Here is a 26,355-nt window from a genome sequence, read left to right on the forward strand (position 1 = left end):
TGTGTGGGTTGATGTGGTCAAAATCTATGTGAGTTCTTTAATGATTATTTCAGGTTTTTTTTTTTTTTAATAAGGAAGTAAGCATGGTCAACAGTGACATGAGAAGGAGGTTTGAGAAGTGAGGAGAATGTGTAAAATAGTGGTCTAGAAGATTAGGTATATGTGTGTGCTAGGGAAATATGGTAAGATTGCTAGACAGCATTAAGGCCCACTTGAGTTTCACAGTCATGATGATCTCATGGATGCCTAATTCATATAATATGAGCAAAAAGATGTGGCTCATAAAGGGCAACACCAGTTACCTTATGGGTAATATTTAGGTTGTGATGGTTCTAGATATTTATATGAGTGAGTAGTAACTATTTTAGAGCAGTAAAAAGCAACTCCGAAAATGCTGCTTATCCTATTCCTTAATCCATACAATGGAAAGAAAATTATAAGTAAATGCATCCAGAAGATGGGACTATTTCACTGGCACCAAAGGAAAAAACACTTTTGGAATTAGGGGATGTAAATTTTGGAAATATATTTAATTTGGAGCAGGTGAGATTCCAGACTTTTCAGGTAATTTTGTTCTAGTATATTAACCAAAATAGTAAATACCATCTGTTATTGAGTGTTTGCCATGTGCCAGCTACTGAGATAATCACTTCATATCAATGATGTCATTTAATTCTCCAAATATCCCAATGAGGTAGGTTTTCTAATCCCAGTTTTAAAGATGAAAAACCTGAGGCTCTGTGGAAGGTGGAAGTTAAGTGACTTGCCTGAAGGCTAAAGATAGTGGCTGGGCCAAGATAAGTCCCAGCCTTGTCTAGTTACAAAGCCTATGTGCTTAACTGTGCTACCTTGCCTCCTAGTCTAATAAATTTTGTATCACATTAATAAATACGTTTTTCTAGTTATACAAGTAATGACTATGAAGGCATTTCAAATATTTTTTTTTTTGCTGGGATTCCATAAACCCAAAATTGAATGAATCTAGTAATGAATCCTTGGTAATTGAAGATGTGGTTTTAATTTTGATTTGAGTTAAATGTAAATACTGTAGTTTATCAGCTACCTAATAGAGATGCTTAATATGTTATCCATTAGTGCTCATCCAACATTTTAAAAAAGTTTTCATGTATACTTCTTTGTATTTTCTTCCGTTTCAAATAATTTTCTTTCTTTTCTTTTTTTTTTTTTTTTTTTGAGACGGAGTCTCGCTGTATCTCCCAGGTTGGAGTGCAGTGGCGCGATCTCGGCTCACTGCAAGCTCCGCCTCCCAGGTTCATGCCATTCTCCTGCCTCAGCCTCCCAAGTAGCTGGGACTACAGGCGCCCGCCAACATGCCCGGCTAATTTTTTGTATTTTTAGTAGAAACGGGGTTTCACCGTGTTAGCCAAGATGGTCTCGATCTCCTGACCTCGTGATCCACCCGTCTCGGCCTCCCAAAGTGCTAGGATTACAGGCGTGAGCCACCGCGCCCGGCCTCAAATAATTTTCTAATGTTATTGTATTATATATAATTTATATGTAAGATGTTTCCTTACTGTAATCATTTTAAAACATATTTTAAAATATTGGTCATTGTCTCTAATAAAAATTGTTTTAGCTTCTTCTTTTATTATATCCATGAGAACTATAAAAATATTTGCCAGGCATGGTGGCTCATGCCTGTAACTTCAGCACTTTGGGAGGGCAAGGTGGATAGATCATCTCAGGTCAGGAGTTCGAGACCAGCCTGGCCAACATGGTGAAACCCCATCTCTACTAAAAATACAAAAATTAGCCGGGTGGTAGTGGCACATACCTGTAATCCCAGCTACTGAGGAGGCTGAGACAGGATAATCACTTGAGCCTGGGAGGTGGAGGTTGTAGTGAGCTGAGATTGCACCACTGCACTCCAGTCTAGGTGACAGAAAGACCCTGTCTCAAAAAACAAAAACAAAATCTATAAAAATATTGTTTAACCAAATGTTTCATACTGTACAGGTAACAACTGGCGATGCTTTTCAGTTATGAAGTTGTGTCTTTCAAAACCAATATTATTTATGTCCTAATCTTTTCCTAATAGTTTTGAAAAACAAATATAAGATAAAATCAAATTTTCAAATTTAATGTCACATATATATTTATTCAAAAAAGACAGGCCAAATAAGAAATACAGACTTAAAAGCTTTTATATGCAGTCGGTAAGAAATGACATATTACATGATTAATGAAAATAATAAATTAGTAATGAGAGTTTCAATCTAATGTTCAAACTTGTTTACTAAGATTATGCAATCATAATACTGAACTATGGACATAATTTTAATGATTCAAGATAACCTTGCCTGGTAGCTGGATTTAGAACCCAACTCTCAAGGCAGTAGTCAAGTATTTTACCCTAAAATCATTTTAACAAGTAGTCTTCATAATGCTTGTAGTATTTTCTTCTCTATAGTTGTACACTCATTTTCATGACTTCCCTTTTATTCACAAATCATGTAATTATTTTTATTGCCTGGCCTGGATTTGTGAATAAGAGATTGTGACTAGTAGATATTTTTGCTATTCAAAAGGAGTAAGTTAATATTTTATTTTTTCATGTAAAACATAATTAGGAAACTTAATTACTTCAGTTGTTTTTAGTCATAGCTTAGTTTTTAGAACTATTTTTAAATGCTGTCTACATACCTCTCTTTTATCTTTCTCTTATGTAAAGACCAAGACATTTGGAGGAGGTGGTGGTGGTGCTAGAAGTAATCTCAATATGAATGCTGCTGGTAACCGAAATAGGGAAGTTTTACAGAAAGAAAAGTCAACCAAATCAGAGGGAAAACATGAAGGTGTCTATAGAGAACTGGTAAGGCTAAAGAACTAACCACAAATTTAAAGTGTTATTTCTTAAAATGATTCTTTTATTCTTTCTTACCACCACCACTGGCTTTGTGCAATGTATTATGGATAGATGTTATAACTCTTGAAGGCTTTCATTAAGGATTACAATTAAATCATTAAAAATTTGGATTGTTTGAAAAATAATTTACTTAAAACTTCTATCTCACTTAAATTACTAATGTCCTAATAATATATTTTGGAATGGATTGATAAAAAGCCATCAAAAGATGATGCATCAAAAACATACATTTTTCTGTGCTTCCCCACCTTCCCCACATCTTTTGTCAAATTTTGTCTAAAGTGATTTTGTTTTGTTTTCTACTGCTCTTTGGGAAGAATATTGTGAAACAAGCATATGTATTATGTGGACCCAATTGCAAAATATTCTTGAATTTTTAAGATAAATGAGTGGAGTCAAACATATTTCTGGCATGCTGTAGTGTTCTCAGATCTAAGGATGTTTGCAAAAATTCATTTTCCTCTCCCTTTAGAGGTTGAATGACTTTGGTTGATTTTTGTCTTTAGGGTACAGAATATCCCAAAACAGCTTAAACCATGGAGGTTTATTATTTCATATAACAAGAAGTTCAGAAGTAGATGGTTACAAGTGTTGGTAAATTCAGCAGTATAACAATATTAGGGCATTTGTGGGTATTTCCATGATTTCTTGGCTTTCTCCTTAGTGTTATGTAACTGCTCAATGGATTCACCTTACCCACTGCCTAAATAAAGCTGATTTATCAAGACAGGGGAATTGCAATAGAGAAAGAGTAATTCATGCAGAGCCAGCTATCGTGAGAGACTGGAGTTTTATTATACTCAAATCCATCTCAGTGATCATTCAGGAATCAGAGGTATTTTTTTTTTTTTGAGATGGCATTTCACTCTTGTTGCCCAGGCTGGAGTGCAATGGCTCAATCTTGGCTCACTGCAGCCTCTGCCTCCTGGGTTCAAGTGATTCTCCTCTCTCAGCCTCTTGAGTAGCTGGGATTATAGGCACCTGCCACCACACCCAGCTAATTTTTTGCATTTTTAGTAGAGACAGGGTTTCACTATATTAGTGAAACTGGTCTCGAACTCCTGACCTCAGATGATCCACCCGCTTCTTCGGCCTCCCAAGGTGCTGGGATTACAGGCGTGAGCCACCATGCCCGGTGGGATAAAAGTTTTTAAGGACAAGTTGGTGGGTGGGGGAAGCCAGTGAGCCAAGAACACTGATCTTAGGAGCAGTTTGTGGAGGGTCAGAATCTTGTAGCCTCCAGCTGCATAACTCTTAAACCATAGTTTCTAATCTTGTGGCCGTGATGGCTAATATGGAGTGTCAACTTGATTGGATTGAAGAATACAAAGTATTGATCCTGAGTGTGTCTGTGAGGGTGTTGCCAAAGGAGATTAACATTTGAATCAGTGACTTGGGAAAGGCAGACCCACCCTTAATCTGGGTGAGCACAATCTAGTCACCTGCCAGTATGGCTACAATATAAACAGGTAGAAAAATGTGAAAAGACAGACTGGCCTAGGCTCCCAGCCTACATCTTTATCCTGTGCTGGATGCTTCCTAACCTCAAACATCAGACTCCAAGTTCTTCAGTTTTGGAACTTGGACTGGCTCTCCTTGCTCCGTAGCCTGCAGATGGTCTATTGTGGGACCTTGTGAGTTAATACTTAACAAACTCCCATATATATATATATATATATATATATATATATATATATATATATATATATATATATCCTCTAAAGTTTTGTCCCTCTAAAGAACCCTAATACAGATTTTGGTACCAGGAGTGGTTCTAGAGGAACAAAATATTAAGGATGTATTTGTTTCGTTAGATTTGGGATTTTTGGAGTTGGCTGCTTAATATGATTAGATCCAAAACTGCTATGGACTCTACTTCTAATAGTGTGGAGAACACTGATAGTCCTTCACATGAACTTTTTAGAGAGTTATGCAAAATAAATGCATTTACTGTTTTTGATTCATCACTCATGAGAGGCAAGGAGTTTAGTGACTCTATACATAATACCTTTGACCATATGTGGAGAACCAAGGAACATAATGAAGCTGGTTGGTTGCTTCTAAGTTTGGTGGACAAAGTGATGAAAGAAAATGATGAACTCAGGCATCCTATCTCCTGGCTTCAGAAGCAGATACTGAGCCTCAAATCTGCTAAGATTGCCCTGAGTAAGAGTCTTATTGTTACTGGAGGGTCCTTGTTCTTAGAGCTCCCAAGATGGTGGTGGGCTGCTTCCAAGATGGCAGCAAGCTGCTTGTTCTCTGACCTGGCATTCTTGGCCTCATGGATTCTAAGGAATGGAACCTTGGGCCATGCAGTGTTATAGCTCTGTTAGAAGCGGTGGGTCACGGAAGAAAACCGTGGAACCCAGCAACTAGTGTTCAGCTCAATTAGGACGAACCGGGGACTTAGCCATACAGGAACAATGGCAAGTCTTTAGCCTGATTGGGAGCGGCAGCTGGCACCCCACTGGATCAGAAACACAGTGGACACCCTGCTGGATCCGGAAGGGTGGAAGTCAACGGCGGGTCTGGGACGGCGGTGAACAGCAGTGGTGGATGGCAAGCGAAAGCTCAGCTTGAGTCTTAACAAACATGGACCAGAAGAGTGTGCAGTTGCAAGATTTAATAGAGTGAAAACAGAGCTCCCATAAAATGGGAGGGGACCCAAAGGGGGTTGTCATTGCCAGCTCGAATGCCTGGGTTTAGATCCCGATCATTGTCCCTCCCCCTGTGCTCTCAGGTGATAGATGATTGGCTATTTCTTCTGTTTTTGCCTAATTAGCATTTTAGTGAGCTCTCTTTACTACCTGATTGGTCGGGTGTGAACTAAGCTCCGTGTTTAAAGGTGGGTGCAGTCACCTTCCCCAGCTAGGCTTAGGAATTCTTAGTCGGCCTAGGAAATCCAGCTAGTCCTGTCTTTCATTATCTCCTGTGGAGAAAAAGCTGAAATTGTGGAAAAACAGACACAAGCTCTTATCATGTGAGTGGCTGACATGAAATGAAAGGTGCATGCACAGTCTTGCCAGGTGTCTACTTTTAAAGTGAGGGCATTGGTTGGAAAAGAGTAGGACCTTGTAGCTTGGAATGGGGATGTGTGGGTGGGCCCTGATGAAGCTGGGGACACTGAGTTTGTAAACTCTGATGAATTTTTTTTTGCTAGAAGAAACAGCTTCCCCATCCCCAGTAATGGCTTGAGTTTTCTAATTTATATAAACAGAAATCTGAAGAGCAGACATGGGAATGTATATTAAGGGTGTGGGATAATGGTGGAAGCAACATTGAGTTGGATCAGGCTGAATTTATTGATTCAGGCCTGCTAAGTAGGCCTGAATCTGCATTTAATATTGCAGCTCGGGGGGTTAAAAAAAAAGGCTAATAGTTTATTTGCTTGGTTAGCTGAAATGTGGATTAAAAGATGGCCCACTGTGAGCAAGCTGGAAATGCCTGATCTCCCTTGGCTTAATGTAGAGGAAGGGATACAATGGCTTAGGGAGATTGGGATGGTGGAGTGGATTAGTCTCTTTAGACCTACTCATTCCAGCTGGGAGGGTCCAGAAGATATACCCTTGAGCAACGCCTTGCAAAATAGATTTGTGAGGGCAGCACAGGCATCTTTGAAGATGCCCTGTAATTGCTCTTCTCTGTATGTCAGAGCTAACAGTGTGAACTGCAGTCACTCAACTACAAAATTTAACTGCAGTGGGAATAATTGGATCCCAAGGTGGCAGGGGCCAAGTGGTGGCACTCAACCATCAAAGGCAAGGTTAAGCGTGGCTACTGTAATGGACGGTAGAAGCAAAACGGCAATCAGAATATTCTGACTTGTGTAGAGCTCTGGCATTGGCTAATTAATCATGGTGTTCCTAGATGTGAAATTGATAGGAAGCCTACTGCATTCCTACATAATTTAGACAAGCAGAAAGCTTCTAGGTCTAATGGACAAAAGACTAATTTGAATTATGAAAGTAGAGATTTGTGGCCCCTCAATCAATTTTCAGCCAGTTTACAGACCCAGAATCCCTTGAATGAAGGGGAGGCTGGGTCCCCTTGAGGAAAGACCCCACCGACAGTTTATGCAGTGAGTCTTTCTTCTATCCTTCCCCAAGGAGACCTCCGGCCTTTTACCAGGGTAACTGTGCATTGGGGAAAGAGAAATGATCAAACGTTTTGGGGACTACTGGAAACTGGCTCAGCTGATGTTGATTCCAGGGGACCCAAAATGTCACTGTGGTCCTCCAGTTAAAGTAGGGGCTTATGGAGGTCAGGAAATTAAAGGAGTTTTAGCTCAGGTCCAAATTACAGTGGGTCCAGTGGGTACGCGGACTCATCCTGTGGTCATTTCCCCAGTGCCAGAATGCATAATTGGAATAGACATACTTAGCAGCTGGCAGAACCCTCACACTGGCTCCCTGACTGGTAGGGTGAGGGTGATTATGGTGGAAAAGGCCAAATGGAAGCCATTAGAGCTGCCTCTACCTAGAAAAATAGTAAATCAAAAACAATATTGCATCCCTGGAGGGATTGCAGAGATTAGTGCCACCATCAAGGACCTGAAAGACACAGGGGTGATGATTCCCACCACATCCCCATTCAACTCTCCCATTTGGCCTGTGCAGAAGACAGATGGATCTTGGAGAATTACAGTGGATTATCAAGTGGTGACTCCAATTGCAGCTGCTGTACCAGATGTGGTTTCATTGCTTGAGCAAATTAACACATCTCCTGGTACCTGGTATGTAGTCATTGACTTGGCAAATGCCTTTTTCTCCATTCTGGTCCATAAGGTCCACCCGAAGCAATTTGCCTTCAGCTGGCAAGGCCAGAAATATACCTTTACTGTCCTTCCTCAGGGGTATATCAACTCTCTGGCTTTGTGTCATAATTGTATTCAGAGAGAACTTGATCACTTTTCACTTCTGCAAGATATCACACTGGTCTCTTACAGTGATGACATATGCTGATTGGATCCAGTAAGCACGAAGTAGCAAACACAGTGGGCTTATTGGTGAGATATTTGCATGCCAGAGGATGGGAAATAAATCTGACTAAAATTCAGGAATGTTCTGCCTCAGGAAAATTTCTAGGGGTCCAGTGGTGTGGGGCGTGTTGAGATATTCGTTCTAAGGTGAAGGATAAGTTGCTGCATTTATAACCAAGAAAGAGGCACAATGCCTAGTGGGCCTATTTGGATTTTGGAGGCAACACATTACTCATTTGGATGTGTTACTCTGGCGGATTTATCAAGTGACCCAAAAGGCTGCCAGTTTTGAGTGGGGTCCAGAACAGGAGAAGGCTCTGCAACAGGTCCAGGCTGCTGTGCAAGCTGCTCTGCCACTTGGGCCATATGACCCAGCAGATCCAATGGTGCTTGAGGTGTCAGTGGCACAGATGCTAGTTGGAGCCTTTCGCAGGCCGCCATAGGTGAATCACAGCAGAAGCCTCTAGGATTTTGGAGCAAGGCCCTGCCATCTTCTGTGGATAACTGCTCTTTTTTTGAGAGACGGCTCTTGGCCTGTTACTGGGTTTTGGTGGAAACCGAACATTTGACTATGGGTCATCAAGTCACCATGCAACCTGAACTGCCTATCATGAACTGGGTGCTTTCTGACCTATCTCACCATAAAATGGCTCATGCACAGCAGCATTCCATTATCAAATGGAAGTTGTATATGTGATTGGGCTTGAGCAGGTCCTGAAGGCACAAGTAAGTTACATGAGGAAGTGGCTCAAATGTCCATGGTCTCCAATCCTGCCACCCTGCCTTGTCTCCCCAAGTCTGCACCAGTGGCCTCATGGGGAGTCCCTATGATCAGTTGACAGAGGAAGAGAAGACTGGGGCCTGGTTCACAGAGGGTTCTGCACAATATGCAGGCACCACCCAAAAGTGGACAGCTACAGCCTACAGCCCCTTTCTAAGACATTTCTGAAGGATAGCAGTGAAGGGTAATCTTCCCAGTGGGCAGAACTTCAAGCAGTGCACCTAGTTGTGCACTTTGCATTTAAGGAGAAATGGCGAAATGTGCGATTATATACTGATTTATGGGCTGTAGCCAATGGTTTGGCTGGATTATCAGGGACTTGGAAGAAGCATGATTGGAAAATTGGTGACAAAGAAATTTGGGAAAGAGGTATGTTGATGGACCACTCTGAGTGGTCAAAAACTGTGAAGATGTTTGTATCCCATGTGAGTGCTAATCAATGGGTGACCTCAGCAGAGGAGGATTTTAGTAATCAAGTGGATAGGATGACCCATTCTGTGGACACCACCTCAACCTCTGTTCCAGCCACACCTATTATATTCCAATGTGCCCATGAACAAAGTGGCCATGGTGGGAGGGAGGGAGGTTACGCTTGGGCTCAGCAACATGGAACTCCACTCACCAAGGCTGACCTGGCTATGGCCAGTGACTATTCCTTGGGGTGATCAGCCAGCTACCTGTTGGCACGTTGATTATATTGCACATTTTCCATCATGGAAAGGGCAGAGGTTTGTTCTCACTGGAATAGCCACTCACTATCTGCCTAAGTAATTTCTTCTTAACTCCTGTATCATTCCCCCCGCTGGAGTGGTAACTCTAACTGCTGTTAGGGGGTGTTGGACGATGACTCTTTTGGCTACTTCCTGCTTAAGAGAGGCATTGTGTGGGGAACAACAGCTAGGGCTCCTCCTAGGATCAATCTAAAGGTCCTCAGCAGAAAGATGTGTCCATGCATTGTTCTGTCTACAGCACCATTTGGAGTTTGATTGCTGTCAGCCATTCCGATGGGTTGTAATACTGGTTTGCCTCCACCAGATGTTGCTGAAACACTAATATAAATGGAACATTCCTTTTGGGATAAGTAGCATTGGATTTGGATGGCTAGAGTAACTTCAGTGTTAACCCTGGCTAAATCTTTTCTGCAATTATTAATCCCTCCATGACTTACACAGACCATCTAAGACATGCTTAAACTTTCCTACTTGTCCTAAACATCCTTCTTTTTAAACAACCAAAGATTCTTTTTAGGACAAGTGTTTACCATCCATAAAATCATTTTATGACTTCCCCAAACCATCCACAAAATGCTTAAACCTTCTGACTTGTCCTGAACATCCCTCTTTTAAACAACCAACTATTCTCTTTAGGACAAGTACTTACTATACAAGATCCTTTCTTATATAAAATCTCTTTCCTTTATAACCTTATTTGCATAGCCAGGGTGTGACATGTTACCAAACCCAATAAAGTTCTAGCAGACTCAGTGATAGTAAAATTTTTATGCTTCTTTTTTGTTGGTAACTATTATTCCTGCTATCAGGATAATAATTACACAAAATACTATAGCAATGGAAACTCTCTGTCTGATATTCCAGTTAGAAGGTGGTAACGTGTATAACCCTACTGCAAATAGTAGAGTGAGTATAGCAGTTCCCGCAAGTGTTGTGTAGTACATAATTTCCATCTAAAATTTTACTTGCTAAGATACAGAATTTCCTTTTGTGGTTCTATGAAGATCCTTAGTTTTATCTTCCCAAATGAACCTCTGGGTTATGGGCACCCTACTCACTTTCATTACCTGACAGAATTTGCAGGATAATTGTCCAGAACTAGGATATTGATCCAGATTTTTACATTACCCATGCCTTTTTGTTTCTTCCAAGCTGCAAGAGATCACCACTTGATTCACAGGAATAAGCAGGGTTAGTCTAAAATGTCAACAAAATAAACTAAAAAACAATTAATGAGACTGGAATTTAATGACAAATGTATAAGCTTTGGATCATAATTTTTCTCTCTCTAGTCCTTATTTTTGGTAAAAACAAATTATGATAGGACTGTGTTTTTTGTAGAATAAACTTTAGTCTTATACTTGGCCTGATTATTTGCATAAAGTGCAGCAAGAATGATTATTTCTATATAGGCCTTTTGGATTGTCTTTGATGGAACTCTGTTCCACAAGGAACCTCAGATAAGATCTTTTAAAGCTGAGCTCAGCCATGGGTTTGTATCTTCAAATACCTGTGAGTTGGGTGATCTTCTCCTCTAAAGGCCCCAGGATAAACCAGGAGCTCCTGGTCCTGTTAGAAAGTGACATTCTTTACTGACCACAGGTCAGGAACCTTGTACAGGATTATATATATAGGTATGAGGCCAGTTCTCTCCATGGGAATTTTATTGTCTCTACAAGTTGAGATTGACTCCTTAAAGGGAAGCATATCCTTCCAGTCAAAGCCTTGATAAAATAACCGGTTTTTCTAATTGTGTCCTGTTGCAAAAGGAAAATGGATTCTTATTGAACTGATGCAAACTACTATATTGTGATAACTTAAGAGTACTCAGAGATAGTTTTGAAATTCTAGAGGAACCAGGCAGAGAGAAACAAACATGCTCCAAACTTTGTTCACAGAATACCTTATTCAATTATTAAAGGCTGTAAATCGTTCAAAATAAGTTTCCTTGACTCTGAAAGACAAACAAGGATCATCAATATTCTAAGAAAAATAAAAAAGGTTCCTTTAGCTTTCTGAGTTTAGTCCATTTAGTTAACTTCTGTTTTGCTTGATACTTGTGAACATTTCAGTTCTTCATGAGTCCTGTACCTTTTTCTCTATTCCAGTGTTACAATCTTCAAAGCTATTAGAATCCTGCATTTGAGAGCACCTGTTAAAGTTGTATAGCTTGATTGTAACCCATCTTTTGAGAAGGAACAGAGCAAGACAAGAATTGTCTGCAAATGACATTTCCAGGGTAGTTACAGTTAAAAACATGACTGATAAAGTTTAGTTATCTGTGGTTTACAATAACTTGACAACCTTAATTATGATTAATAGGATATAATTAGACATTCGACTTTTAGAAATTCCATACAATATTGGAACATATATTAGTATTATTCACCAAAATATAACTTAAAGAAGATTGCACATCATTTCGGAAATCCAATGTGACTAAACATGCCAAACAATCCTGTTTATCTCTTCTCTGGATGTTTCAGGGGCCCTCTGAACCATCCAGAAAGCAAGGTATCCGGAAAGAAAATTTTGAAACTTGAAGTTTGATTTTGGGAAGGCTGCTAAATGTTGGAGGACTTAAAACACTTGATGTTATGAAATAGAATTCCATATTGCTACAAATTATTTATTTTGCCAAAATGATAACTCAAAAGGCAAAAGCCTTTCATTAGCCTTTACTATTACATGAAAATCCTGTTGAAAGCCAAATTGTACCCTTGCATCAGTTTATTAATGTTAACCCCAATTGGTTTAAATGAAACCTTATAGACGATTCCATCTAATCTTAACCAGTTTGACCATAAATGAAATCTTTACAAACCTTTTATAATGCTTTTTGCTAAAGGGCAGATTGGCATCAGAAGAAAACCTTGCTGTGCTTTTATTTCAATGCTCAATTTATGAAAAGATCATATACTTTTTTGAATTTAGTTAATGTTTGTGTGTTTTTGCAAGATTAATTTTAAAAATTTTAGAATTTTTTAAATCTTTTTATAATTTGCTTAATTACCTCTAGGTTTATCTTATCAAATCTGAGATAATCACTCATCCCTGGGCAAAATTTACATTTTCATGCTTTCTGATAATCTTTTACTAAAAAAAGTTACTGTTTTTATACACCTTGCTTGTAAAACTGTTTAGTGATCTCAAATACATGTTGCAATGTAAACTCTTAGCAACTTTTACTTTTGGTGAAAAACCTGGTTAGTAAGCAGTTTTAATTGTGTACCAGGTATGGAGCCTAGGACCCAGACAGAAGTGCAGATAAGGTCTGACTTTCCAGCATCTAACTCCATATGTCCCAGGACTTGCCTGTCTGTAAAGCAGGCAGTTTACAACCTTAAAACATTTAGCAAACCTAGTATCTGACTTGTATGATTTAGACCACATATTTGCATTTTGATGACACTTGCATTTTACCATCCTTAAGACATTTTGTTTCTTAAATATTAAAGTCACATGAACTAAAAAGCATTACAGCTTTTATCTTTCCTTAAAAAAATATTTGATTCGGTGGTGGCTGGCAAGATGGCTGAATAGGAACAGCTCCGGCCTGCAGCTCCTAGCGAGACTAAGGCAGAAGGCAGGTGATTTCTGCATTTTCAACTGAGGTACCTGGCTCATCTCATTGGAACTGGTTAGACAGTGTGTGCAGCCCATGGAGGGCGAGCAGAAGCAGAGTGGGGCGTTGCCTCACCTGGGAAGCACAAGGGGTCGGGGAACTGTCTCCCATAGCCAAGATAAGCCATGAGGTATTGTGCCATGAGGAATAGTGGACTTCGGCCCAGATACTATGCTTTTCTCACAGTCTTCACAACCTGCACACCAGGAGATTCCCTTGGGTGCTCATGCCACCAGGACCCTGGGTTTCCAGCACAAAACTGATGGCCTTTTGGGCAGACACTAACCTAGCTGCAGGAGTTATTTTTTCATACCCCAGTGACGCCTGGAATGCCAGTGAGACAGAACTGTTCACTCTGCTGGAAAGGGGGCTGAAGCCAGGGCGCCAAGTAGTCTAGCTCAGCGGATCCCACCCCCACAGAGCCCAACAAGCTAAGATCCACTGGCTTGAAATTCTCGCTGCCAGCACCACAGTCTGAAGTTGACCTGGGATGCTTGAGCTTGGTTGGGGAGAGGGGTGTCTGCCATTACTAAGCCTTAGTAGGCAGTTTTCCCCTCACAGTGTAAACAAAGCCACCAGGAAGTTCTCACTGGGCAGAGTCCACCGCAGCTTGGCAAATCTGCTGTAGCCAGACTGCGTCTCTGGATTCTTCCTCTCTGGGGAGGGCATTTGTCAAAGAAAGGCAGATGCCTCAGCCAGGGGATTATAGATAAAACTCCCATGTCCCTGGGACAGAGCAACTGGGGGAAGGGGCGGCTGTGGGCACAGCTTCAGCAGACATAAACATTCCTGCCTGCCGGCTCTGAAGCAAGCAGCGGATCTCTCAGCACAGTGCTTCTTAACTAAAGGAGCATGTTCTAACCCAATGCAAGGAAGCTAAGAAACTTGAAAAAAGGTTAGAGGAATTGCTAACTGGAATAACTAGTTTAGAGAAGAACATAAATGACCCGATGGAATTGAAAAACATAGCACGAGAACTTTGTGAAGCATACACAAGTATCAATAGCCGAATTGATAAAGTGGAAGAAAGGATATCAGAGATTGAAGATCAACTTAATGAAATAAAGTGGAAAGACAAGATTAGAGAAAAAAGAATGAAAAGGAACAATGAAAGCCTCCAAGAAATATGGGACTATGTGAAAAGACCAAACCTACATTTGATTGGTGTACCTGAAAGTGACAGGAAGAATGGAACCAAGTTGGAAAACACACTTCAGGATATTGTCCGGAAGAACTTCCCCAACCTAGCAAGACAGGCCAACATTCAAATTCAGAAAATACAGAGAACACCACAAAAATACTCCTTGAGAAGAGCAACCCCAAGACACATAATCATCAGATTCACCAAGGTTGAAATGAAGGAAAAAATATTAAGGGAAGCCAGAGAGAAAGGTCAGGTTACCCTCAAAGGGAAACCCATCAGACTAATGGCACATCTCTCTGCAGAAACCCTACAAGCCAGAAGAGTGGTGGCCACTATTCAACATTCTTAAAGAAGAGTTTTCTTTAAGAATTTCATATCTAGATTTTCATACCAGCCAAACTAAGCTTCAAAAGCAAAGGAGAAATAAAATCCTTTACAGACAAGAAAATGCTGAGAGATTTTATCACCACCAGGCCTGCCTTACAAGAGTTCCTGAAGGAAGCACTATATATGGAAAGGAGCAACCGGTACTAACCACTGCAAAAACATACCAAATTGTAAAGAACATTGACACTGGCCGAGTGCAGTGGCTCATGCCTGTAATCCCAGCACTTTTGGAGGCCAGGGTGGGCGGATCGCAAGGTCAGGATTGAGTTTGAGGAGTTTGAGACCAGCCTGGCTAACATGGTGAAAGCCCATCTCTACTAAAAATACAAAAACTAGCTGGGCGTTGTGGTGCATGCCTATAATCCCAGCTACTTGAGAGGCTGAGGCAGGATAATCACTGGAACCTGGGAGGCGGAGTTTGCAGTGAGCTGAGATTGCACTACGGCACTCCAGCCTGGGTGACAGAATGAAACAAACAAACAAAAAAAAGAACATCGACACTATGAAGAAACTGCATCAGCTAAAGGGCAAAATAACCAGCTAGCATCATAATGACATGATCACATTCACACATAACAATATTAGCCTTAAATGTAAATGGGCTAAATGTCCCTATTAAAAGGCACAGACTGGCAAATTGGATAAAGAGTCAAGACCCATCAGTGTGCTGTATTCAGGAGACCCATCTCACGTGCAAAGACACACATAGGCTCAAAATATGGGGATGGAGGAATATTTACCAAGCAAATGGCAAGCAAAAAAAATGCAGGGGTTGCAATCCTAGTGTCTGATGAAACAGGCTTTAAACTAACAAAGATCAAAAGAGACAAGGGCATTACATAATGGTAAAAGGATCAATGCAAGAAGAGCTAACTATCCCAAATATATATGCACCCAATACAGGAGCACCCAGATTCATAAAGCAAGTTCTTAGAGACCTACAAAGAGATCTTAGACTCCCACACAATAATAGTGGGAGACTTTAACACCCCACTGTCAATATGAGGTCATCGAGACAGAAAATTAACAAGGATATTCAGGACTTGAACTCAGCTCTGGACCAAGCGGACCTAATAGACATCTACAGAACTCTCCACCTCTAATCAAGAGCATATACATTTTTCTCAGCACTATGTCATACTTTAAAATTGACCACATAATTGGAAGTAAAACACTCCTCAGCAAATGCAAAAGAACGAAAATAATAACAGTCTGTCAGACCACAGTGCAATGAAATTAAAACTCAGGATTAAGAAACTCACTCAGAATGGCACAAATAGGTGGAAACTGAACAACCTTCTCCTGAATGACTACTGGGTAAATAAAAAAATTAAGGCAAAAGTAAATAAGTTCTTTGAAACCAATGAGAACAAAGACAAAAAATACCAGAATCTCTGGGACACATTTAAAGCAATTTGTAGAGGGAAAGACTGGCACAAGACAAGGATGCCCTCTCTCACCACTCCTATTCAACATAGTATTGGATGTTCTGGCCAGGGCATTCAGGCAACAGAAAGAAATAAAGAGTATTCACATAGGAAGAGAGGAAGTCAAATTGTCTGTGTTTGCAGATGACATGATTGTATATTTAGAAAACCTCATTGTCTCAGTTCAAAATCTCCTTAAGCTGATAAGCAACTTTAGCAAACTCTCAGGATACAAAGCCAATGTGCAAAAATCACAAGCATTCCTATACACTGGTCATATACAAACAGAGAGCCAAATCATGAGTGAACTGCCATTCACAATTGCTACAAAGAGAATACCTAGGAATACAACTTACAAGGGATGTGAAGGACCTCTTCAAGGAGAACTAGAAACCATTGCTCAAGGAAATAAGAGAGGATACAAACGAATGGAAAAATATTCCATGCTCACGGATAGGAAGAATCAATATCATGAAAATGGCCATACTGCCCAAAGTAATGTATAGATTCAGTGCTATCCCCATCAAGCTACCATTGGTTTTCTTCACAGAATTAGAAAAAACTACTTTAAATTTCAGATGGGACCAAAAAGGAGCCCATGTAGCAAAGACAATCCTAAGCAAAAAGAACAAAGCTGGAGGCATCATGCTACGTGACTTCAAACTATACTAAAAGGCTACAGTAACCCAAACAGCATGATATTGGTACCAAAACAAATATATAGACCAATGGAACAGAACAGACGCCTCATAAATAACACCACACATCTGCAACCATATGATCTTTGACAAACCTGACAAAAACAAGCAATGGGGAAAGGATTTCCTATTTAATAAATTTTGCTGGGAAAACTGGCTAGCCATATGCAGAAAACTGAAACTGGATCCCTTCCTTACACCTTGTACAAAAATTAACTCAAGATGGATTAAAGACTTAAATGTAAGACCTAAAACCATAAAAATCCTAGAAGAAAACCTAGGCAATACCATTCAGGACATAGGCATGGGCAATATATTTCTTGTGAAAAAAGTTTAGAAAAGTCACTAAGCAAACTGATCACTGTAACCTTCATCAAGTTAACAGTGGTGATCCTTGGGGAGGAGGCACAATCTGACTTTCAGTTACCTAATTACAGGATTCAAAATGTCCACTTCCCAACAAAAAATTACAAAGCCTACAAAAGGCAGGAAAATTTAGCCCATTCACAAGAAAAAGAGAAATCCATAGAAACCACACCTCAAATAGCCCATGCATTGGACTTAACTAGAGAAAGACTTTAAATGGACTGTCTTATATATGCTCAAAGGTCTGAGAGAAACCATTGACAAAGAACTAAAGAAATCAGGAAAACAATGTATAAACATGTTAACTATTAGATGTATAAAAGTTAAAGTTTTGTTTTTCTCAGCTGGCTTTGGTTCAAGAAATTTCTTCGTAGGATATGTTTATACTCCTTAAGTGGTTCTTGAATTCTATTCAGGTCTAGATTTTTAAAAGAGATTTGGATTCTGGCATTTGTAAAGTAGATTTTCTTATTGGGGTATAGCTGTCAAAGCATCATAGATAGTATTGCTAATGAATATAGCTAGAATACTCAAGTACTAGTTTAAAAAAAAAAGCTCCTGGGGGGTATCATTTTGTTAGCTTCAATAGTTTACATTTTTGGAGAGGTGCTGTATGAATTACATTTCCCTTCTAGTATGGAGAAGTATCAAAAAATTTCCATTTTTTACCATGAAAAATTTTCATTAAGTAGTTTTCTCCTCACTGTCTATATTATTTTCAAAGGCCATACTCTAACATATCATAAAATTTATTTTTTGTGTGTTGCTTTTGCAGTGTTACTTGTGAGGTCAGAGAATACTCAAGGCACAACCCCACATATCATACAGATTCTTCCTTGCCTCTTGTAAAAAATCAGCAAGAGAATGTTGTATTAGAATGACATTTTTACATAAGTATGGGATGTAATTTTTAGTTAAAAGACAGTAAGTAGTTAAAAGTTTATGCCTTGCCTTATCTGTGGGCTATCAGCCAGCTTTTCTCTTTATTCCTTCCAGGTTGATGAGAAAGCTCTGAAGCACATAACGGAAATGGGCTTCAGTAAGGAAGCATCGAGGCAAGCTCTTATGGATAATGGCAACAACTTAGAAGCAGCACTGAACGTACTTCTTACAAGCAATAAACAGAAACCTGTTATGGGTCCTCCTCTGAGAGGTATAATTTATTAAGCAGTGTGCCAGATAGTATTGTTTGCTTTTCAGAGTAATATATGTTATTGACAGAGGCTGTTATTTCTGTGAGGGCTGTAATTTTGTTTAACATTATGGTAAGTGGAAGGAACACCAGTTTGGGAACCATAGAGACATTTGTAGTCTCAGTCTCATTGTCTTCATCTTTGTACAAAATGGATCTAACAACAACAACAAAACAAAAACAAAATGGGTCTAACAATACCTTATTTAACAAGGTTGTTATGAGTAATAGAGAAAATATGTGACTGGTTCTATTATTTCTAGAACTCTGCCACCTCAGTAAATGACTAAGCTTTTAAAAATTAACAAAAATATTACATTTACTTGGTGTTATTCTTTAATCATTGCATGGTCAAGTTTCTTATGTGGTCCCAGTCCTATATTCTTTTAAAAATATCTGTGGTTAAAGAATAAATTATAATTTTTCCTTAAAAGTTAGTTTATATGAACAAATTCGGACTTCTGAATAGATCATTTATTTAGAGGATTAAATATGCTACTTAATATAATTACTTAAAAACCTAAAAAAATTACTTAAAAGATGTAGACTATACAAAAAATATGAAAAGAAATTAAAATCCTTATTTAAAATTATTGTTGGTTATATATTAGTATATATTCTCTTTTTGTTTTTGCATATACAGTACATATTTCTTGCTTTTGCATCTAAAGGTAGAGGAAAAGGCAGGGGGCGAATAAGATCTGAAGATGAAGAGGACCTGGGAAATGCAAGGCCATCAGCACCAAGCACATTATTTGATTTCTTGGAATCTAAAATGGGAACTTTGAATGTGGAAGGTAAGCTAATTTAAAGTTGATTCCTTTTTTTTTCTTTCTTTTCTTTCTTTTTTTTTTTTTTTAGCGTATTTCTTTTTAAAAGACCAAACTTTATTTAGAATTGTAGTGTAAAACAACTATAATATGAACGTATATCCTGAGTGTTTGTTTATAAATTTACTTAATCTGAAAACATAATGGCAGCTTATTTTGCCCCCTAACTGGGATTAGTAATCTCACCAAACCAGTTTTCCCAAATTTGCTCATATCTAGATGACAGATATAACTGTGTAAACAGGTTGTTGTGTTGGAAATTTATTATAATCTTATATAACTTATTTTGCTTGTGAAATTGATATATCTCTTCTTTCTCCCCATATTACATAGTTTGAAAATGTTCACACAATGAGTGAAAATGCTTTCACAATGTGGTATATTTTTTATATACTTTAGTGATTACTATATTGAAAAGAGAAGTAAGTATGGTAAATATGCAGCCTTTTTCTAAGCACATAATATAGTAAATATTTTCTAAAATGGTAAGTTTTCAAAATACAATCCAAAAAGTTAAGGAAATATACTTTTAAATTCAGTTTCTCATTCAGATATATTTTGAATCTAGCCAAATAAGCTCAGAGATAAAATGCTTTTATAACAAATATGAAATGTTCAGATTTCATAAAAATTGAAGCATGTTTGCTAGATTATATAGAAAAGGCAGTGTAGCATTTGAGAAAACAAATGTTTGATGTGGGCAAGATTTATAAGCATGATGTATTAGTTTTCTATTTCTGTGTAACAAATTACCACAAAGTCAGTGGCTTAAAACAATGCAACTTTATTACCTTATAGTTTCTTTGTGTCAGGAGTCTAGGCACAGCTTCATTGGGGCCTCTGTTTAAAGTCTCAGATGCTGATGTTAAGATTTTGGTTGGAGCGGTGATGTTATCAGAGACTTGAGTTCCTCTTACAGGCTCACCCATTCTAGCAGAATTCATTTTCTTGTGGAAATGAAGTCCCGTTTTTTGCTTGGTGTTGCCTGGAGACTGCTTTATCTCCTAAAAGCTGCCTTCAGATTATTGCCACATGGGCCACCCCATAGGCAATTTACATATTGTTTGCTCTGCAAAGCCAGCAGGAGAGTCTCTGCTGCTGCTTCAGATCTTTCTTTTTCCTGACTCTGACTTAATGAGTACTTTTGTCCCAGCCTCTCTTCATACTGTCCCACTGAGAGATCCTTTGATTTCCTTTCATCCTCCTGTCCCCTTACATTTGCTTTTGACTCCTGTATTAGTTTGTTTTCATGCTGCTGATGAAGATATACCTGAGACTAGGTAACTTATACAGGAAAAAGAGTGTATTGGATTTACAGTTCCACGTGGCTGGGGAAGCCTCACAATCACGGTGGAAGGCAAGGAGGAACAAGTCACTTATTATGTAGGTGGCAGGAGGCAAAGGGAGAGCTTGTGGAGAGAAACCCTTATAAAGCCATCAGATCTTGTGAGACTTATTCACTGTCACGAGAACAGCACAGGAAAGACCTGCCCCCATGATTTACTTACCTCCCACTGGGTCCCTCCCACAACATGTGGGCATTCAAGATGAGATTTGGGTGGGGACACAGCCAAACCATATCGTTCCACCCCCAGCCCCTCCCAAATATCATGTCCTCACATTTCAAAACCAATCATGCCTTCGCAACAGTCCGCCAAAGTCTTAACTCATTTCAGCATTAACTTAAAAGTCCACAGTCCAAAGTCTCATCTGAGACAAGGCAAATCTCTTCTGCCTAAGAGCCTGAAAAATCAAAAGCAAGTTAGTTACTTCCTAGATACAATGGGGGTACAGGCATTAGGTAAATATAGCCATTCCAAATGGGAGAAATTGGCCAAAACAAAGGGGCTACAGGCCCCATGCAAGTCCGAAATCCAGCATGTTAGTCAAATCTTAAAAGCTCCAAAATGATCTCCTTTGACTCCATGTCTCACATCTAGGTTATACGGATGAAAGAGGAGAGCTCCCATGGTCTTGGGCAGCTCTGCCTCTGTGACTTTGCAGGATACAGCCTCCCTCCCAGCTGCTTTAATGGGCTGGCGAGGAGTGTCTGTGGCTTTTCCAGGTAAATGGTGCAAGCTGTTGGTGGATCTACCATTCTAGGGTCTGGAGGATGGTGGCCCTCTTCTTATAGCTCCACTGAGCAGTGCCCAGTGGTGAACTCTGTGTGGGGACTCTGACTCCACATTTCCCTTCTGCACTGCCCTAGCAGAGGTTCTCTTTGAAGGGCCCGCCCCTGCAGCAAACTTCTGCCTTGGCATTCAGGCATTTTCATATATCCTCTGAAATCTGGGTGGAGGTTCCCAATCCCCAATTCTTAACTTCTGTGCACTCATAGGCTCAACATCATGTGGAAGCTGCCAAGGCTTGAGGCATGCACCATCTGCAGTCACGGCCCCAGCTCTACATTGGTCCCTTTCAGCAATGGCTAGAGTGCCTGGGATGCAGGGCACCAAGTCCCTAGGCTGCACATAGCATGGGGACCCTGGGCCCAGCCCATGAAACCATTTTTTCCTCCTAGGCCTCCTGGCTTGTGATGGGAGGGGTTCCATGAAGACCTCTGACATGCCCTGAAGACATTTTCCCCATTGTCTTGGGGATTAACATTCAGCTCCTTGTTACTTACGCATATTTTTGCAGCTGACTTGGATTTCTCAGAAAATGGGATTTTCTTTTCTATCACATTGTCAGTCTGCAAATTTTCCAGACTTTTATGCTATATTTTCCCATAACTTCATGATTTAGGAGACACTATAGAAGTTGATATGGTTTGGCTGTGTCCCCACCCAAATCTCATCTTGAATTCCCACATGTTGTGGGAGGCACTCGGTGAGAGGTAATTGAATCATGAGGGCAAGTCTTTCCCGAGATGTTCTTGTGATAGTGTAAGTCTCATGAGATCTGATGGCTTTATAAAGTGGAATTTCCCTGAACAAGCTCTCTCTTGGCCTGCTGCCATCCACATAAGATGTGACTTGCTCCTCCTTGCCTTCTGCCATGATTGTGAGGCTTCCCTAGTCATGTGGAACTATAAGTCCCATAAACTCTTTTTCCTGTATAAATTACCCAGTCTCAGGTATGTCTTTATCAGCAGCAAGAAAATGAACTAATATAGTAAATTGGTACCAGCAGAGTAGGGTGCTGCAGAAAAGATAACCCGAAAATGTGGAAGTGACTTGGGAACTGGGTAACAGGCAGAGGTTGGAATGGTTTGGAGGGCTTAGAAGAAGACAAGAAAATGTGGGAAAGTTTGGAACTCCCTAGAGACTTGTTGAATGGCTTTGAACAAAATGCTGATAATGATATGGACAATGAAATCCAGGCTGAGGTGGTCTCAGATGGAGATGAGGAATTTGTTGGGAACTGGAGCAAAGGTGTTATGTTTTAGCAAAGAGACTGGCAGCATTTTGCCTCTGCCCTAGTGATTTGTGGAACTTTAAACTTGAGAGAGATGATTTAGGGTATCTGGCAGAAGAAATTTCTAAGCAGCAAAGCATTCAAGATGTGACCTGGTTGCTGTTAAAGGCATTCAGTTTTAAAGGGAAAACACATGATAAAAGTTTGGAAAATTTATGTTTGGGTTCTCAGGGACACCTGCTCCTTGGATGAGCACCATGACCTTGGCTCACAGTCTTGCCTTCAAGGTTTAGTAACTTTGTTGGGGGCCTATCACACTACATACAGGAAGCAAAATTTTTAATCTCTCCTAGATGTACTGTGTGGGGAGGGCACACTGACAGATTCAGGAAATGGGCAGAAGGCTTCTTAGGGGAGATGACATCTAGTTAAGACTGAGGGGAAGTGTTGGGGCAGTCCAAGTGGAGGGAGCACTATGTATACAGGCATGGAGGCATCAGAGCACCAATTCCCTGTGCCTGGGAATGTATGGTAGAGGTAGTGCTGTGAGGAGAGACATGGAATTGGTAGGCTAGAGCCAGATCACAAGGATTTTGTCCTAAGGAGTTTTAATTCTGTCCGAATGTGATACAAAGGCATTAAAGGGTTTTTGGCATAAGAGCCATGAGGTTTATTTTGGTGCTTTAAGAAAAAATTTCCTGTCTGCAAAAGGAAAATAGGGTAAGATGGGATTGAGATTGAAAACAGACAATAGTTGTATGTGTTGTGGGGAATTATTCATTCAATAAATGCAGTATTTTATTTAGTATTTAAAATACCTCATTCAGAAAACACAGGGAAGTAGATTGATTTTGTACCTCTTGTCCCAAAGAAGCTCACTGTCTAGTGTGTGAGACAGAAGAAGTCATAAACTAAAGGGACATAGGAATGCTTACTTTCAAAGGATTTCATCATTTACTTAATGTAAAACAAAACAGTACTGAGCAAAATATAAGTGCTTAGCAGAAGTTATTTTGAAAACAGTAATCAGATTTGATCTGGTATATTTGTAACCTGTAATAATATTTAGTCTTTTATTTCAAAGTTTTATTGCCAAAATAAGACCTACCCATTGTTTCGAATGGCTACTAAATACTTTAATCAGGCAGACTTGAAAACACTATTTGGTTTGCTATTTCATTGTTTTAAAGGTTTACCTTACCAGGACCTGATTGCACCATTACTAGTAGCTTTTCTGACCCTAAACTCTCTTTGATGATGTTGGCCTCACACAGAAGAGATTCATGATAACACACATAAGTACAAATAGCTAGACGATAAAGTGATACACACACACATATATATATGGAAGATTATTTTGCCTGTAGCTATTTCTTATATTCTCTTGGTTCTGTCTTCATGGGTACAATGAAGATAACAGGATTGATGGGAAAGCTGTGTGTTGGTTGCCCTCAGGTATCTTTAGCAGGTATCGTTGTGTTACTTTCTCTTGTTGACCTGCTCACACTACTCAGTGCCAGTATTCTTAGGTGAGCTGGGGTATATTGTAAAATAAACAAACAAACACAAAAACAGTTGAGGCAAGCTACTGAATTGTTTTTCAGCTCATTTTAAGATAGCATGTATTTTTAATTGGAGTTAAAGCCCAGAGTAAATTTTTACTTTTATAAAGTTGAATCTCCACTTTGGTGGAAAATTTGGTTATTTTCTGTAAATCTCTTGTTCTAAAATTAACTTCATTGATGGGAGAAAATGTTGGACATTTTTCTAAGATAAATCTAGAAAGTGTTTCAGGATAACATCTTCATAATGTTTAATGGTTAAATGCATTATGGACAGCTAATGAAGAGAGTTAAGATCTTATTTATGTTCATATTAGCAGCATCATTTATTTGGGTCTGTTATAGACTCAAATTGACATTACAAAGAAGTAATTGTGATTCAGTGATATGCATATATTTAGGGTTTAAAAAGTTTGTTTTTCTAATACAGTTGCATAATCAAACCTTTCTTGCTTCTGTGTTTTGTATCAGCATAAGCTGTCTGAGGATTTTGTTTAGTTTTAGTACCTCTAGAAGTCAGAATTTAGCGCAGTAAGCCTTGGCTTGGATGGACTTGTTATGTCATATCAGATTCTGGACAGTAATTTGTCAGGCTGGTTGGAAAAAAATATATATTCTGATTTTTAAAAGTTTCATTAGAAATAATTGATTATCACATTTACTTTTCTTAGAAATTTTTCTCAGCATTGACTTTTTGTTGTTATATCTTTAAATTGGAATAAAACATAATTCTAGTTGACGTTTTTATTAATATTCTGAAAAAAGTGAGGTTGGATTGCATTGTTTTCTGTTATCTAATGAAAAGGACAGTGTACTGGAGCAGATACATACAACTAATTCCACCACTAAACTCACAGCTCTTGTATACTAGTTGTATGTCTTTGGGCAAGATATAGAACTATTAACCTTAATTTTCTCATCAGGAAATGGAGAAGTAGTGACAGCACCTATTGTAGGGCTACAAGGTCGTTGGGAAGATCAAATTAGATAATGTATATGAAGTGCTAAGCCTAGTGCTTGGCATCAGCAACAGCAGCAGATGCAACAGCATCCTCCACTCACCATGTATCATTTCCACCTTCACTGCCCTACTTCAGGCCTTCATCAAGGCTTTCATCGGCTTTCACTGTTTTTTGCAGAACCTTATGATCCCATTCTGCATATTGTGGTCAGTGACCTTTCAAACCACAAATTTGATCACACTACCTGCTGGCTTAAAATGCTCCATTGACTCTTCTCATTGGCAGGATAAAATTCAGACTACATTATTTATATTGTTTTTATGGTGTTCCATTATTTTTATTTTCTGTGGATTTTGTGAGAATTAGTATTTATATTGGTTAACAGAATATATAGATGTAAATAATCTGTTTAGATATTAGCAGATATAAAGATACATTAATGGTTGATGGGCACTTCACATCAAGTTGCAGATCTTTGATAGTTCATGGAAGGTGTCTTTTTGGCTTTGTTTTTGCTTTTTTTTTTTATTCAAGTTTCAGGTCACTTTGGATAGTTTGCCTTGTAGATTTACTGCTTGAACTTTGAAGACTGAAGAATAGGGACCTCACAAAGGGAATGTAATATAATGGTAATAGCTTAATTGGAAAGGAAGGAAACTAGGCCGAGACAAGAGAGAATGTGTATATATTAGGCTAGATGTTATTGTGAGGGATTTCCTCAAGAATCATCTATGTATTGACTATTATGTATATTTATATCTTATTGCATCAAACAGCATTACTACATATTGATGGAAATCTATGGTAGAGTGCCTGTTTGGAAACCAGGGATAAATGGTTGCTATGTGAGTAAAGTCATCAACTGCCAGCACAGCAGAAAGCAGAAGAAATGTGTAGCTATCTACCCACAGCCTATCACTTTCTTTCTATTCCTAGCCATCTCTATGGGCTTCCCAGCCCTTGAATTTTTCTTCCTGTAAAGCTGATTCCTTTTTACCATTCCATTCGTTTTGAAGTGCAAATGTACCCCAAATTTCTAGATAGTACTTTAAGCTTAACTTGAATTAATTATTTCCAATTCTATTTGTGGACAACTTGTTACCTTTAATAGTTAATAGTCTGTGCCAGAGCCACTTAGTATCTAGTCAACAAAAAAGTACAGATTCAGTGCTGAAATTGAGAGTGTTTAGAAACCGCTTTAGCAATTTGACAGTACCTAAACATTTGTTACTGCATTTTACAAAAGTAACAGTCAGCAGCAGATTGGAAATTAAAACCAGAACCTGCAGCTAAAACAAAAACCCTGGTCTTTCACTACAGTAAGTTTGAAATGTTCTGGTTTATGTTGTTAGGACATTGCAGTCTCTGGATTTACCTGCATTCTGACAGCATGATAGCTTTTGTCAGAGTAACAAGGCCAGGCAGGTA

General features: G+C 39.2%; 1 protein-coding gene across 14 annotated transcripts in view; it reads left to right on the forward strand.

The window, feature by feature from the left end:
* Positions 1-26,355, forward strand: part of TDRD3 (tudor domain containing 3) — a 178,347-nt gene that overhangs the window by 96,210 nt on the left and 55,782 nt on the right. For all 14 annotated transcript variants that reach the window (XM_047430685.1, XM_024449417.2, XM_005266560.3 and 11 more), the window contains exons 8-10: positions 2,693-2,833; positions 18,021-18,177; positions 18,888-19,013. In XM_047430685.1, coding sequence (XP_047286641.1) covers positions 2,693-2,833; positions 18,021-18,177; positions 18,888-19,013 — 424 coding nt within the window. The remainder of the gene's footprint in view (positions 1-2,692; positions 2,834-18,020; positions 18,178-18,887; positions 19,014-26,355) is intronic.

Source organism: Homo sapiens, chromosome 13, assembly GCF_000001405.40.
Source record: "Homo sapiens chromosome 13, GRCh38.p14 Primary Assembly".
Classification (NCBI taxonomy): domain Eukaryota; kingdom Metazoa; phylum Chordata; class Mammalia; order Primates; family Hominidae; genus Homo; species Homo sapiens.